The sequence below is a fragment of the Homo sapiens genome, chromosome 3, assembly GCF_000001405.40.
Source record: "Homo sapiens chromosome 3, GRCh38.p14 Primary Assembly".
Lineage (NCBI taxonomy): Eukaryota > Metazoa > Chordata > Mammalia > Primates > Hominidae > Homo > Homo sapiens.
The window spans coordinates 45,185,807-45,201,256 of NC_000003.12; the positions used below are offsets into that span (position 1 = coordinate 45,185,807).

The 15,450-nt window shown below is 46.3% G+C and overlaps 4 annotated features.

Moving 5' to 3' along the window:
- Nucleotides 13,641-14,840: an enhancer, noted in NCBI's record as "CDK7 strongly-dependent group 2 enhancer chr3:45240939-45242138 (GRCh37/hg19 assembly coordinates)". NCBI's record gives its function as "activates an origin of replication core promoter dependent on BRD2, BRD4, P300/CBP, MED14 and CDK7 cofactors, with strong dependence on CDK7, by STARR-seq in HCT116 cells {active_cell/tissue: HCT116}" and the evidence as "EXISTENCE:reporter gene assay evidence [ECO:0000049][PMID:35650434]".
- Nucleotides 13,641-15,364: a biological region, named in NCBI's record as "CDK7 strongly-dependent group 2 enhancer GRCh37_chr3:45240939-45242138".
- Nucleotides 13,831-14,596: an enhancer, noted in NCBI's record as "H3K27ac-H3K4me1 hESC enhancer chr3:45241129-45241894 (GRCh37/hg19 assembly coordinates)". NCBI's record gives its function as "activates a minimal SCP1, AML or CMV promoter by ChIP-STARR-seq in naive H9 embryonic stem cells {active_cell/tissue: H9 hESC(naive)}" and the evidence as "EXISTENCE:reporter gene assay evidence [ECO:0000049][PMID:30033119]".
- Nucleotides 14,597-15,364: an enhancer, noted in NCBI's record as "H3K27ac hESC enhancer chr3:45241895-45242662 (GRCh37/hg19 assembly coordinates)". NCBI's record gives its function as "activates a minimal SCP1, AML or CMV promoter by ChIP-STARR-seq in naive H9 embryonic stem cells {active_cell/tissue: H9 hESC(naive)}" and the evidence as "EXISTENCE:reporter gene assay evidence [ECO:0000049][PMID:30033119]".

The following is a 15,450-nucleotide window of genomic DNA, read 5'->3' on the forward strand; positions in this document are numbered from 1 at the left end:
TCTTGACCTTGCAAGGAGAGAAGAAAAGGCCCTTTCCCCCTTGCCCTGAGTTTCTCTTCTAAGGGTCTGGCCAGGACTGTAGGGTACCCGGAGGGGCCAGGCAGGGGACTGTGAATACAAGCCAGGGAGGAGGAAAAGGGAGAGCTACTGGGTCCAGTCCTGTCCAAGGGGTCACTGCTGCACATCTCTCCTCAGCATTGCCCTGGGCCCCAGGTTGCAGAAGCTGATTTATTTTATATTTATTTCTTTGTTTATTGAGATGGAGCCTCGCTCTGTCACCCAGGCTGGAGTGCAGTGGTGTGATCTCGGCTCACTGCAACCTCTGCCTCCCAGGTTCAAGCTATTCTCCTGCCTCAGCCTCCCAAGTAGGTGGGATTACAGGCACCTGCCACCATGCCTAGCTAATTTTTGTATTTTTAGTAGAGACGGGGTTTCACCATGTTGGCCAGCCTGGTCTCAAACTCCTGAACTCGGAGTCCTGGCCGACCTCGGCCTCCCAAAGTGCTGGGATTGCAGGTGTGAGTCACCTTGCCCAGCCAGAATCTGATTTTTGAAGTGTGACTGGACATCTAAATGAAATCATGGGACATGAAAACATTGGTGGCTCACTAAAAAAAACTTTAGAAACAGTTTTTGTTTGTTTGTTTTTGTCAAGTAAAACCCCATCTGTATCCATCAATGGCTGAATGGATCATAAGTGTGGTCTATCTGTAAAATAGAATGTTATTTAGACATAAACAAGAATGAAGTTCTGACACATGCTACAAACCTAAAAACCGTTACGAACCTAAAAAACATTATGCTAAGTGAAAGAAGCCAGACACAAAAAGCCACACATGGCACAATTCCAATGTAATGAAATATCCGGAATAGGATTAAATCCATAGAGACAGAGAGGTTGGTGATTGTCAGGGGCTAGGGGGAGGATAGGTGGTAGGGTAAGTGTTTAATGTGTAAGGGATTCTTCTGGAGTGGTGAAAATGTTTGGAAGTGGATGGAGGTGATCGTTGCACAACTCATTGTCACTGAGTTGTTCATTTAAAAGTGGCAAATTTTATGTTATGTGGATTTCACCTCATCCCGCCCCCTCCAAAGAAAAAACTCCAACTGTCTGCCTCCATTACACATTTGCTATAAGGCTCACCTGGTGAGGAGCCTCACTCGGGCCATTCTTCCTTCCCAGGAATGAGTCTGGTAGTGTCCATGGCCCAAGTCGGGGATGGGGAGCTGGTTCCAGCGTGGCTGTGAGGTTGGGCACTGAGTGTGGGGAACCCAACAGCATGGGGTGGCTCCCTGTGCAGACCTGCTGTGATGGGCATCTCTGGTCTTCAGGAGCTGCAGTGCCAGGTTAGGGCTGGGGAGAAGCACTTGACAATGGTCTCGGGTAGCAAAAGGAGCCACAGTGATGCCTGTGCCCATCAGGAACCAAGATGGGCCCTCTCCCTGTTTTCTCGGCACCACACACACTCTGAAATTTTGGTAGAATCCAAAGGAAGTGTGGCAATGACTGCTCCTGCACATCCTCCAGGTAAAGGGACACAGAGTCACATTTAGTTTGATTTAGAAAAGAAAAAAAGTACCACTCCCAGGGGACCACCCAAAGAGCTTGGGTAACCCAGGGTCTGCAGGGAGGCAGGAGGGTGGATATACTTATCCAAGTGTACTTACCCAACCTTTTTTGGGTAAGGAAGACTAACTAAATGTGTACAGAAAAGGTGGGCATGGGCATGGTGCAGGGAATAATTGGCTTAAATAACATGAGCATCCCAGGGTAGGCCACCGTCGGGTGCACTCTTACTAGGGTGGAATGCTGCCGGGACCTGTTGTTTGTCTTTCTTCCCTTCGTATTCACTCCACTCTCAGGTGGGCTCTCTCCTGGGATCGCTAGAAGGCTGCAGCAGTCTCCCATGTCTCTCAGCAGGTGTTTCTGACTCAGCAAAAGTGGCCTTGAGTCTTGTTGTCCTCAGTTCCTGAAGCTATCACTGTGTATCAAGGGAGCCCAGGGGCAGCCCCACACTGCATCCCTAGAGTAGGTCTGGTCTCAGCCTTGCTTCAGCAAATGGACTGAAACTGGGGTAAGTATGTGGTTTTCTAGTGAAATTGGGGGATATCCCTGGAAGGAGGGTGAATGGATGCTTGGTGGTCACATAAGCAACCACAAAGTTCTAGATGGGAAGGCTTCCTGGAGGAAGTGACGTCTAAGCTGAAGGATAGAGATATCTTGGCCTTGATGGTGAGACTGCCTAGTCAGAGCAGTATGTGTGCATCTCAGAGGCGAGCCAGAGCATGCTCAGAGCCCAGGGAGTTCAGGATCTAGGGGCACGTGGTGCATGTGGGAGCATGGTGGGAGGGGCTGTTCCCGAGGTCTGGAGAACCATCCTCAAGGACTGTGTTTGCCAGGCCAAAAGGGCATCAGCTTATCCTGAAGAACATGGGGAGCCATGGAAAGCTTTTAAGCAGGGAACAAATATGGTCAGATTTGTGTGAAGCAAAGACGACTCTGGGTGCTGTGGGCAACCCCCCAACATCTATTATCTATAGAAAGTCATCAAGTCATCCTCTGTAAGGGGCTTACTATACCCACCCCTGGGAAAGACTCCTTTAATCTAATGATTTCCATCTACAAGTTTAGGTTTTTTTTTTCTTAATTTAAATTATAAAATATTTTGAACATAGAGAAAATTAGGTACCACTTACTCGGATTTAACAGAAGTTAACTTATTGCTGCAGTTGCTCAGATACTGTCATTTTATTTCAGAAATAAGAAGTAACACACATAGACACATTTCTCTTCCTGCCTGCCCAGAAAACCACTACCTCAAAGTAAGTTTCAATCTTTCCCATATATGTTTTTACACTTTTGTTATGAACATCATAATATATATACATAAGTGTGCATTGAACACTTTGTTTTTACATTTCCTTGGAATACACTTAAGAATTCTGTCTTTCTTAATTGCTTACAGCACAAAGACCAGGTCTTCACGAGTAAGCTGAAATAGAGCATTGACACTGATATTAGGCTAATTTATGCCCACGAAATGCTTTGGCCTAAACTATTCTGAGAAGCAAGGAGAACATCTGCCTTACTTCAAAAGAGCTGTTCATAAGCACAGTCTCCCACTTAATTGCTTGATAGGGTCTTGGCTTAAGCCCCAGAAAGGATCAAACAAATCATCCATATGCTCTATTGGAGTTTACATCTTTCAAAAGAGTCTTGAGTCAGTATTAAGATCTTCTGGGATCTCAGATCTTAGCTTCCTTTTATTTCCTTTCCCCCACAACCCCAAGAACAGTCCCTTAAATCACCTTGGTGCTTCCTTTCTGGGCTTCCTGCAATAGATATTTTCAAGGGCTGTTTGTGGCTGCTGTGCTTGCTGAGACCTTTCAGGCAGGCAAGGAAGACACATCCTTGGAATATGTATCAATCCTGTACAAGATTAATCGCTGTCCTTCCTGGGTAATTAACTTCCCGCCAAGCAGTCGTTTGGTCTCCTCAAGGGATAATACCATGTTGGAGCCTCAGAGTTAATCTCCATTGCTGGCAGGTAGGATACTCAGCAGCAACAAGAGCTAGAGGAGTCTCAGTGAGAGGTGAGCCATGCTATAGGCCTCTGAATAGACTCCATCTCTGCCACCCTGGCTACTCCATTTATGAGCCCACTGTGCAAACACTGAGTGTTTGAGGACAAAGACTGATGTCTAGTGGTGGAGTCATCCTGTTCACTTAGTTATTTAGTGCCTATTTTTTTTTTTTTTTTTCTGAGACGGAGTCTCACTCTGTTGCCCAGGCTGGAGTGCAGTGATGTCATCGAGGCTCACTGCAACCTCTGCCTCCCGGGTTCAAGTGATTCTCCTGCCTCAGCCTTCCGAGTAGCTGGGAATATAGGCACCTGCCACCACACCCGATTAATTTTTGTATTTTTAGTAGAGATGGGGTTTCACCATGTTGGCCAGCCTGGTCTCGAACTCCTGACCTCAGATGATCCACCCACCTCGGCCTCCCAAAGTGCTTGGATTATGGGGGTGAGCCACAGTGCCCATCCTTTAGTGCTTATTCTGCAGCAGATATTCTCTGATGGGCATTAACATGCAACACAGAGATCCTCACAATTTGTGCGTACTCTCCTAGATCCACCATCTGCCTTTTCTCCAGATCTTCTTGTCCCTGATCTCCCAATCTTGTTAGTTTAGGCCCCTCATCAACCAGCTCAGCCATTCCTCACTGCTCGTGCATCTGTGTATATTCTTATTTCAGGCCTCTCTTTCCACACAAAGCGGAGGGCCAGTGCACTTCATCCAAAGCCCGGCCCATCAGGAAGATTTCCTTGCAAGCTGCCTTTCAGGGTCACCCATGTGGGGCTGTGGTACAGCAGCAATCCGTTTCAACTGGTACCCACATATCAAGCCAACTCACGCATGAACCAAGCTCTGACTTTTCCCATCCTGTGTCAGCAGGTCATAGGAACTTCTTGTGGGGCCAAAGGGGTGGGCGGAGGGAGAGATGTCGGTGCAACAGTGATGGTGCCATGTGGGGCCGCCACCTCATCACATGGCCCACTCGTGCGCTCTGCCCTTTGTACACCTGATCCTGCCTCCACGGCTTCCATCTTTGAAGAATTGCTGCTGGGCCTGCCAACCTTATCAACTGGTGGGTCTGACATTACCCAGCTCATGATGGGCAGTTCTGGCAACAAGGTCATTTGATGTCTCATGGTCAGTCTCCCTCATGGGAGAAGTGGACAGCTTTCCCACTATGGGGTGATGGCACTTGGGTAGGTCTGATTCGCGTCTCTGGTTTTGATGGGGCTGAGAAATCAACGCTCTGAAGTTCTGCTATTTTTACAGTTGGGTCCTAAAGCTGCCCTTCAGCACGGTCTGCCTTTTGGCTATAAGAGAGGAGCCACTATGCCTTTAACCACTGCCAAGGAAGCCCTCTGACTTTCACAGTTTGAACTGATGATGACTTGTCATTGGCCTGTTATTTTCTCTCTTTAAAGCATGAATGGTGGTTAGCAAGAGCTACCCAATTTCACAGTCTTTATAATAATACTTTCTCCCTTGATTTTTTTTGTTTAAGAGATGCAGTCTCCCTTTGTCATCCAGGATGGAGTGCAGTGATGTGATTGTAGCTCATTGCAGCCTTGAACTCCTGGGCTTAAGCCATCCTCCCACCTCAGCCTCCTGAATAGCTGGGACTACAGGCATACATTACTATACCTGGCTAATTTTTTTAAAATTTACAAATTGGGGTCTCACTTTGTTACCCAGGGTGGTCTTGAACTCCTGGCCTCAAGTGATCCTATGGTCTCAGCTTCCCAAAGTGTTAGAATTACAGGCATGAACCCCTGTGCTTGGCTTCCCTTTTTTTTTTGAGACAGAGTCTCGCTCTGTCGCCCAGGCTGGAGTGCAGTGGTGTGATCTTGGCTCACTGCAAGCTCCGCCTCCCGGGTTCACACCATTCTCCTGCCTCAGCGTCCCGAGTAGCTGGGACTACAGGCGCCCGCCACCATGTCCGGCTAATTTTTTGTATTTTTAGTAGAGACGGGGTTTCACCGTATTAGCCAGGATGGTCTCAATCTCCTGACCTCGTGATCCCCTGCCTCAGCCTCCCAAAGTGCTGGGATTACAGGTATGAGCCACTGCGCCCGGCCTGCCTCCCATATTTTTTTACATGCCAGAGCCATTGTAAGATCCAGTGCATCCCCTTCCACCTATATCTTATTCCAGTTAACCACACACGAGGGTCTTTGCATTTGTGTAGCTAGAGCAAACCAGGCAGAGAAAAAACGGAAGTGATTTGTCCAGTTCACCCAGTGAGTTAAAAACCAAGCCAGCACTAGTAGTCCTTCTGAGCTCTACAGAGTAGAGAGTAGAGGTGGGGCTTTCTAGATTCCAAGAAACATAAACTCCCTCAAACTACCTCAACTAAGAGTGAGCACAGTTATTGCAAAGATCCTCATGCTCAGGAGGGCAGGGAAGCCTAAGATCCAGGCCTAGGAAACCACAGAACTAGGTCTACCAAGGCCAGATCAGTGTAGAATACCTGTGGGACCACGATGGAAGGAGCGAGGACTCTCCACTCTAGAGCTGGGGACTTGCTGTGGGCTTGCCCTCCTCTCTTCCCTCCATCCACTGGCCTTTTTTGTCCACACTTGAGAGCTAGGAAATCGGATTAGCACAACTAATCACTGTTACTGCTGGGAAGAGGTTTTACCATCAGACCACATCCTGGGCTATTGACCAGGCTGCCTCAGCTGTCATGAGACCAAGCAGGAGGTGGCAGAGCCACTGAGTGTGACCAGAGCCCTGGAACTGAGCTGCCTCGTTTTGCATCCTGGCCCCACCACAACAAGCCATATGTCCTTGGCTAAGTCATTTATCCTTTCTGCACCCACTTCTCATTTGTAAAATAGGGGATGATAATAATACCCACTGCACAGGGTTGTTAGGAGGGTTACATGAGTTAAAATTGCTTAAAGCCCTTAGAATAGTACCTGGCACATAGTCCATAGTCTGTGTTTGCCCAAAGCAAAAAACAAACACGTACTGTATGGCAGAGTGGGAGCAGAGAGGAAAGTAGAGAAAACCTGCAAAGGGAGGAAAAAATTTGTTAAGGGAAGGTCAGGCTCCTGGAATTGTTTCAGTTGCCAAATCTCTCATTTTCACTCTAGTCCATGTATTTCCTATAGGAAACCTATTTTCTATGAAATAGTCTGAGTTAGTTTTCTTTTTCTCTTTGCTACCAAAAGAAGTCTTTCTGAAGCAAATACCCTTTTTTTCCACTTCCACACATTGAAGCCCCACCTTCACTTTAAACTCTCGCTTGGCCCTTCCTTCCTCCATGAAGACTTCCCAGATTGGCCAAGTCAGGACTCTCCTCTTCCAAGTCCCTGTAGCACAATCTGTGTCTCCTTTATGCTTCTCACTGCTTTCTACTTTGCATTGTGGGCATTTGTGTGCATACCTTTGCTCCTCTGATAAACTACACAGTGTCTGCAAAGTAAACTGACGTACGTCAACATACATAACATCGTCAAGAGCTTTTCAATCTATAGAAAAATAAAATATGATCTACATCTCCAGACTTTGTGGCCACACCATAGATGCTCCTAGTACACATGAACCTGTCTTATTCCATTTTGAAGGCACCCTAGCAGGTTACTGTTGTATCCTGATATATTATATATTGTGATAGTATATTTTATACACTGTTAGAGCCTGTTACAGGGAAAGGGAGGCTTCTTAGGCTGCCCTGACACCTAGCTCCTCCCAGGGGAGGAAGAATTGGTAACATGAGTGGTCAGATCCCGAGACATGGATTGGGCGGCAGTTTACCAGTGGGTTGGGTCACTGAGTGTCAGAGGTGAGGGCACACTAGAGAGTTTCCCCTTGCCCTTCCCATCCATGTGTGGTAAGTATAAATAAGCAAAGCCTGTCTTCTCCGGGCAGGCCCAGGCATCCTTTGCTCCTTCACTTTCTGTTCCGTGTAGTGCACACAACCTGGCAAGACCTGCCTCTTTCTAGTCTACTTTCTCCACCTAAGGTTGGAAGCTTCAGATTCGGGTACCTGAGATTCATGGGGAGTCGGGTTGGTGTGTGAAAATCAAGGGTTCTTTTAGGCTTCCTAATCTGAACTGCTTGCTCCACATCAGCTCGTACCAGAACTCTGCACTGGGATTCTCAGTAGGGACACCATATAACTCATGATCCAACCAGGCATCTTGAGAGTGAAGAGGGGTCCAGTTATTAACATGGACACTGAGAAAATAGGCACAAACTGGGCATGTTCCAATGACACCAGGGCATATGGTCATGCTAGTTACAGGGTCTTCCTCTGTGTTTATGCAGCACTACCTTATTTCCCATTTAGTTCTCATTCCTTATGAGTACAGTCCCTTTGATGAGAAATCCCAGGGGTAGAAGAGAGGAATGTCAGAATCGGAAAACCAAAACCCAACCTTGAATACCTTATACATATAATAGACTCTTGATTAATATGGGTGAAAGAATAATGAATGTAGCTGAATTATTGCAAAATTATATTTAATAATAAAAATAGGGGCTGGCTGCAATGGCTCACACCTGTAATCCCAGCACTTTGGGAGGATGAGGCAGGTGGATCATCTGAGGTCAGGAGTTTGAGACCAGCCTGGCCAATGTGGTGAAACCCCGTCTCTACTAAAAATACAAACATTAGCTGGGTGTGGTGGTGCTTGTCTACAGTCCCAGCTACTCAGGAGGCTGAGGCAGGAGAATCGCTTGAACCTGGGAGGTGGAGGTTGCGATGAGCCGAGATTGCACCATTGCACTCCAGCCTGGGCGACAAGAGTGATACTCCATCTCAAAGAAACACAAAATAATAATAATAAAAATAGAAGTCAATATTATGGCAGTACCAGTGATTAAGAAAAATAACCTTTAAAACATTTTTCTTTCCTTTGATGGATCTGAGTCAGAATAGGCTTGGGATCCCAGCTCGTCACTTAGGAACTGTGTCATTCTGGGCATGCTGCTTAACTCAGGGCTGTGTATGTGTGATCTGAATGTCATTTGGGGGTCTTCCTGCCCCATGGAGATTTAGGAAATTTGACTTAAACACAGTGTGTAGTGGGTTAAGTAAACTCAGAGTTTGCCTCACAGTTTCTGCATGTTCTAATTCCTAATTCTTTTTAAAAACTTTTTTGGGCTGGGTGTGGTGGCTCACGCCTGTAGTCCTACTACTTTGGGAGGCCAAGGCAGCAGGATCGCTTGAGCCCAGGAGTTTGAGACCAGCCTGGGGCAATATAGTGAGACCTCATCTCTACTAAAAAATTTTAAGATTAAAAAAAATTAAATTAGTCAAGTGTAGTGGTGTGCACCTGTAGTTGCAGCTACTCAGGAGGCCGGGGTGGGAGGATTACTTGAGCCTGGGAGGTCAAGGCTGCAGTGAGCCATGATCATGCCACTGCACTCCAGCCCGGGCAACAGAGTGAGATCCTGTCTCAAAAGACTTTTTTGTTTGGGTTTTTCTCTGCCTTCACCCTGTATGTCTGTGTGTGTTGCCTCACAGCAAACCCAAATGTAAATTTTAGCCCCCACCACTGTTTTCCATAGGAAACCTAACCTTTCTCAACATTTCGTGAGTTTGGTGAATTCCGTGACACTTGGAGGAGCTATGCAGAAAGCTCACCACCTGCCATGGGCATCTACCATCCGGGTGCCCGCAGCCCTTCTTCGTTTTTCCACTTGGTTATTTTCCAGAGTTCCTCTCTTCCCCTTTTCATTCCATAAACATTTGTGGAACACAGTCCAGCCTCTTTATGACTTCTTCCATGAGAACAGCATGCCCCACCCACCCTGCCCCACTGCTCTCTTCTAAAGCCTTCTCCTGATTTTTGGTGAAGAAAATTTTCTCCATCCCATTTCTTGAATAAAAAACACAGCACCATGAACACACCTTAGGCTGTGGAGATTCCCACTAGTGATTCCAAAGTCCCTCTGGAAACTTTAGCATATGGGCACATTCGGGTGTGCATGTGCACTTTTCTAATGAGCTACCTCTTGGCTCTTACCAGATTTTCCCTTCCTTCCTTCCTTTCTTCCCTTCTTCCCTTCCTCCCTTCCTCCCTTTCCTTCTCTTTCTTTTCCTTCCTTCCTTCCTTCTTTTTTTTCTTTCTTTCCTTCTGAGTCTCACGCTGTCACCCAGGCTAAAGTGCAGTGGTGCGATCTCAGCTCACTGCAACCTCTACCTCCCGGGTTTGAATGATTCTCCTGCCTCAGCCTCCTGAGTAGCTGGGACTACAGGCGCCCACCAGTATGCCTGGCTAATTTTTGTATTTTTGGTAGAGACTGTGTTTCACCATGTTGGCCAGGTTGGTCTCGAACTCCTGATCTCAAGAGATCCACCCGTTTTGGCCTCCCAAAGTGCTGGGATCACAGGTGTGAGCCATCACACCCGGCCTTCTTATCAGATTTTCAAAGGGATCTGTGACCCCTGAGAAGTAGAACAATTCCTTTGGAACATGTTGTGTCATTTAACTTTAAAACTTCAGGGTTTCTCTTTCTATGATACAGTTGCAAGGTTGAGCTGTCTCTTAAACCTATCAGCAATTATGATAGTTACCTTTGGGTTCACAAAAGGAATAAAAAGAGAAAGGAAAAATATAGAGACAGAGAATCCCTAAGCTGCTTTCTCCAACTGGGCAAGAGCTGGAAGAATGGAGGAAGGAGTAAGCTAAATGGTTATATCAGTTAGGATATTTTCAGATACAAGCAACAGAAATACCAACTGACAGTGGACCAACCAATATAAATACCCAAGCCGGGGTGTCTCCAACATTGATAGTTTGGCAGCTCAACGACAGGACCAAATACCTGGGTTCTTTCCTTGTTTTTGCTCTTTTATCATTAGGTTGGCTCTCCTTAGTCCCAGGATGGCCACCACAGTTCTAGCATCATCAGCAGACCCAACCATGTCTAGTGATAAAAGGGGGAGGTATGTCTCTTTTACCAGTAAAAAATGATTCCCAGGCTTGGCCCAGTGGCTCATGCCTATAATCCCAGCACTTTGGGAGGCCAAGATGGATTGTTTGAGACTAGGAGTTTGAGGCCAGTCTGAGCAACATGATGAGACCCCATCTCTATTAAAAAGCCAAACCAAAACAAAAATGGTTCCCAAAACTCCCCATAAACATTCACTCATATTTCATTGGCCAAAATTGTATGATATGTTCCTGCCTAACCCAATCACAGGTGAGGGTAATGGTGCCACCAACATTGGCTTACACTAATTAGCACCCACTCTTTGGGAGATGAAGTTGGGCTCATCCCCTACAAATCATGTAACTGCCATGGAGGAAGGTAGGTACAGAACAAAGCTGGGATCTTGTTGGACAAGCGGTTGGGTAGCAGCCATATGTCTGGGAGCTAATTGATCCATGAGTAGTGGAGACAGAAGAAAGGAGGAATGGGCTGAAGGAGGGCACCCATTGCCTGGCAGGAGAGGAAAGAGATGGTGGGTCAGACATCTCTATGGCAAGAGTGAGGTACTGCTGTTAGTCAAGGACATTTTGGTGATTTTCTGAAAAGCCTCAGGGTGGGTAGGAGTTGGGGAAAGTATTTTCACGGTGGCCATGTTAAGTAGAAGCTCTTTTGAATATGGTGCTTCTCACCTTGGGCGATTCTCTGGTGAGATGTCATTTGCAGTCTGTGATAATAGTGGCTTCTGCTTCAAAATTTCCATTCCATCTTCTTCTGCACTGACTTTCACTAACACTGAACGTCTCTTTCCTTTTTGCAGACTCTTTAAAGCCATAGCTTTTCTTTTCATTTCTTTCCCATGTCTTTAATTTTCATGAGGTCTCAACAAATAATTTCCTCATCTTTAGTGTCCTGTCTAGAAACTCCAAGTAGGTACACAGCTGCAGATTTCAGCTCAGATTCTGTTCTGCATGGCTACAAAAATGTTCCATACCACAGTAGCTGTCCTTTCAGATTCCCAGTGACCTGATAGATATACCCATCTATTAATGGATCCCACTAATCATGTAGACCAGGACTCTGGGATAACCAGCTCTTAGCTGATTTCAGGTCTATGGCATAAAGCCTGCAGAGCATAATTTAAATGCATTTTTAAAGCAAACTGGTTTGCAGAGAACCCCGTGTTGTGATGTGTTTCCATAATGGCACCAGTGTCTGCTCAAGTCTGTAATGAAACATGCAATAATGCTCCCACAAAATCCACCAGGAAAGATTCCCATAAGTGGAAGAGTTTTATTGCCAGCAGGTTTTATATCTTAATTCTCTCACCCCCATTTCTCTGAAATACAATTTAAATAGTCCTTTAAAAAATTTTTGACTCCTCAGAAGTCAAATGTACTCTGTGGAGATGAGGCTGTTGGTTGAGATGATTCCAGTTAGGAAGTATTTTTGGTGGGTTGCACAAGGGCCCTGATGTATAAAAATCCCCCCCATCCCAACCCAGCTTCTCTTTGTATGCATGGGATCTTTTTAAAAATATTTTTTGAGATGCAGTTTCAGTCTTTTTGCCCAGGCTGGAGTGCAGTGGCCTGATCTCAGCTCACTGCAACCTCTGCCTCCTGGGTTCAAGTAATTCTCCTGCCTCAGCCTCCTGAGTAGCTGGCACTACAGGCATGTGCCACCACACTCAGCTAATTTTTGTATTTTTAGTAGAGACAGGGTTTCAGCATGTTGGCCAGACTGGTCTTTAACTCCTGACCTCAAGTGATCCTCCCTCCCCGACTTCCCAAAGTGCTGGGATTACAGGCGTGAGCCACCGCTCCCGGCCTGCATGGGATCTTTTGATCTACAGTGAGGGGAAGAGGGATCAGTTTTAATTGGAGGATGGGCTGGAGGAGACAGAAGGACCACCAGAGGGATGCTATGGCATCTCTTCTTTGAACCATAATAGAGAAAGGAAAAGGGTTAGAGAATGAAGCTGCTCAGATGAGATTTTTGGAGACCCTGGGCCCAAGCACATCTGCTTTAGGGTCCTGGGAGCACCATGGGGCACTGGTTGTGGGCAGGACTGGTCACCTTGCCTCAGCGCCAGAACCAGATGGCATGGTAGTGAGAAAGCTCCACCAAATGACCTTGTGGGCAATGTCCTGGCCAGGAGGAGGGGTGGCTGGGGCAGGAAGTGATGCACAGGTGGGACAGAAACTGCAGTGGATCAGCAGGCCTGAGAGGACACCCCATGTGACTCCTAGAAGTAGCAGGTTGAACCACAGGGTTGCTGATAGCCAGTGGTCAAGATGATGGGGCTTGGGTCTTTACCATGTGGTTATAAGGAAGGAGGGCATCATTTTGAGGCCATAGGCTGGTGAAAGTGCTATTGATTTAATCCAAAATGCTTTGGCATAGAAAATCCAGAAAAGACAAGCAAAATGTTTCTTTCTTCAAATGATTTACAATGACTCCACTTTGTTATCTTGCCTAATATAGACTTGGCCAGAACTTCTGTTTAGCTAGCTAGTGCCGCAGAACAAATCACCTCACAATTTAGTGCCTTACAGTTTCGTAATCTCTCAGGATTTCTGTAGATAAGGAGTTTGGGAAAGGCTTGTTGGGGTGGTTCTGGTTCCAGTCATTTGTGTGGTTACTCTTGGACAGTGGCTGGAGCTTGGAGAGCCAGGGTTGAAGCAGCAGGTGGCCGGCTGGGCACCTCTGCTTCTTTATATGGCTTCAGGGCCTCTGTGGCCTCTCCATGTGGACTGGTTTAGGCCTCCTCACAGACTGATGGCCTCAGGACAGTTAAAATGCTTACACAGGGCTCAAAACTTCAGGAGTGAGGATCACAGGGAATAAGGTGGAATATGGGTCCCTTTTACAGCTGAGCCTCTGAAGTCACACAGCATCACTTCAATGGCATGCTGTTAATTGAAACAATCACAAAGAGGATGGGTGTGGTGGCTGACGCCTGTAGTCCCAGCACTTTGGGAGACTGAGGTGGGCAGATTGCTTGAGCTCAGGAGTTCAAGACCGGCCTGGGCAACATGGCAAAACTCTGTCTCTACAAAATATACAAAAATTAGCTGTGCGTGGCGGTGTGTGCCTGTAGTCCTAGCTATACAGGAGGCTGAGGTGGGAGGATTGCTTGAATTTGGGGAGGTCAAGGCTGCAGTGAAGCCGTGATTGTGCCACTGCACTCCAGCCTGAGTGACAGAGTGAGACCCTGTCTTAAAAAACAAACACACAAACAAACAAACCAGTCACAAAAGCCCACCCCACATCAAGGGGAGGGGAATTGAACTCCACCTCTTGATGGAGAAATGATAAGGTAATAGAAAAGCATGGGGTTGGGGAGAGGTGGGAGATATTGCATCCATCTTTAAAAAATACAACTGCAACCATCTTTTCCATGCAGAGTGAAATCATCCTCGCAAGCCTTCCTCCAAGGCTAGCTCCTTTCAAGATAGCCTTCCTCTGTGACTGGGTTTTTTCCTGCCCAGCATTCAGCCACCTTTTCTACCTGTTTTAATCTCCACTCTTCCCACAGCCCAACCCCTCAACTGTATTTGTCATCTCCTTGTGATTCCCACTTATTATGCAGACCAAAAACTCTCCAGCTCTCCTGCTGGGTGATCCTTTCCTAAAAAGGCACTGAACTAACAGTTCTTATGAATGAAGGAAGTGCAGAAACCCATCGGAACACGATGACTAAGATGCAGGGCAGCTCTGGGACAGTCGCTGATTGAAACATCCCTGAGTTCTCTGAGCATCAAACATGCCTGTGAGATCCTTGATTACACTGCAGGTAAGCAGACAGGAGGACAGATGTTGTGTAAGGTTGGGGAACGCAAGGAAGATGAATGGACTTCAACACAAGGAAAGGCTCTCAGGGAATACTTTCCAAGCCCGCAGGAATGTAAGGACACTCCCACATCGCTGGTAAGTGAGTCATCACCAATCACCATCCAGTTAAGAATCATTGTATGTAACAGGCTTAGAATCAAAGCCTTATTATTATTATTATTTTAATCAACAGAAAAGAGAACCTATTTAGAAGTCTGGAGAATGATCTAAAAGGACAGGCTAAGATGAGAACACTTGGAGGCAGGACAGTAGAAAGACAGGGACACTCCTGTGTGACTGTTGGGAAGAGCAAACTCATAGGGAAGCAAGGAGGCACTTGCCAGCTGGGACCTGCTGGTGTCATCATCTAGTTCCCCTGAACTCACAAGATATTTGCCACCCTTCAGGGGACTTCGTCACCATGTGCCGCTCTTCTCCCTGGGGCAATTATCCTTTTTAATTATGTGGCAGTGATATAACTGTGCCCCATATTTGTCAGGCACATTGGTTTGTTTGCAATAATTCTAGCTAGAGGAGGTCAGACTCAGACCCAGGTGAGAATTCTGGCTCTGTTACTGTCCAGCCTGGTGACTTAACCTTTCTGGAGCTCTGTTTGCTCATGGAAACTGTAAAATGGGGATTATTACACCCTACCTTTGTGTCACAATAATAAAATGGGATACAGTGAGTAAAATGTTTAGAATAGCCTCAGACCCCATTGATGCTTAATCAAGTGTGTTCTTTTTCTGTTCTCTCTTAATTATTCAGCACCATTAGTGAGCATCTTTTTTTCCTTTTGTAACCAGCCTCAAACTTGTTTATTTTTCCAGGTGTACATTGTCACTAGAAGCCAGGCATTTAAAATAAAACATGGTTATAATAAAGGTTGGTCATAATAAAGTGTTGGTCATACTACACAGTAATTATTACTCTAGGAGGTTCAGCAAAGGAACACCCCTTTTCCACAGCTTCCTCTTCATGTATAGGCCTTCCAAACCAATTTTTCTGTAAGAGGTCCTTTTTCTGGCAAGTTGAAAGCCACCAACTCCTTCAAAGATCAGATGTAGGCAATGAGATGCTACCAAGTAGGGCAATACAGCCCACCTCACATCCTGGCTCTGGTCCTTGGGTCCAGGATCCTAGATTTCCCAATGG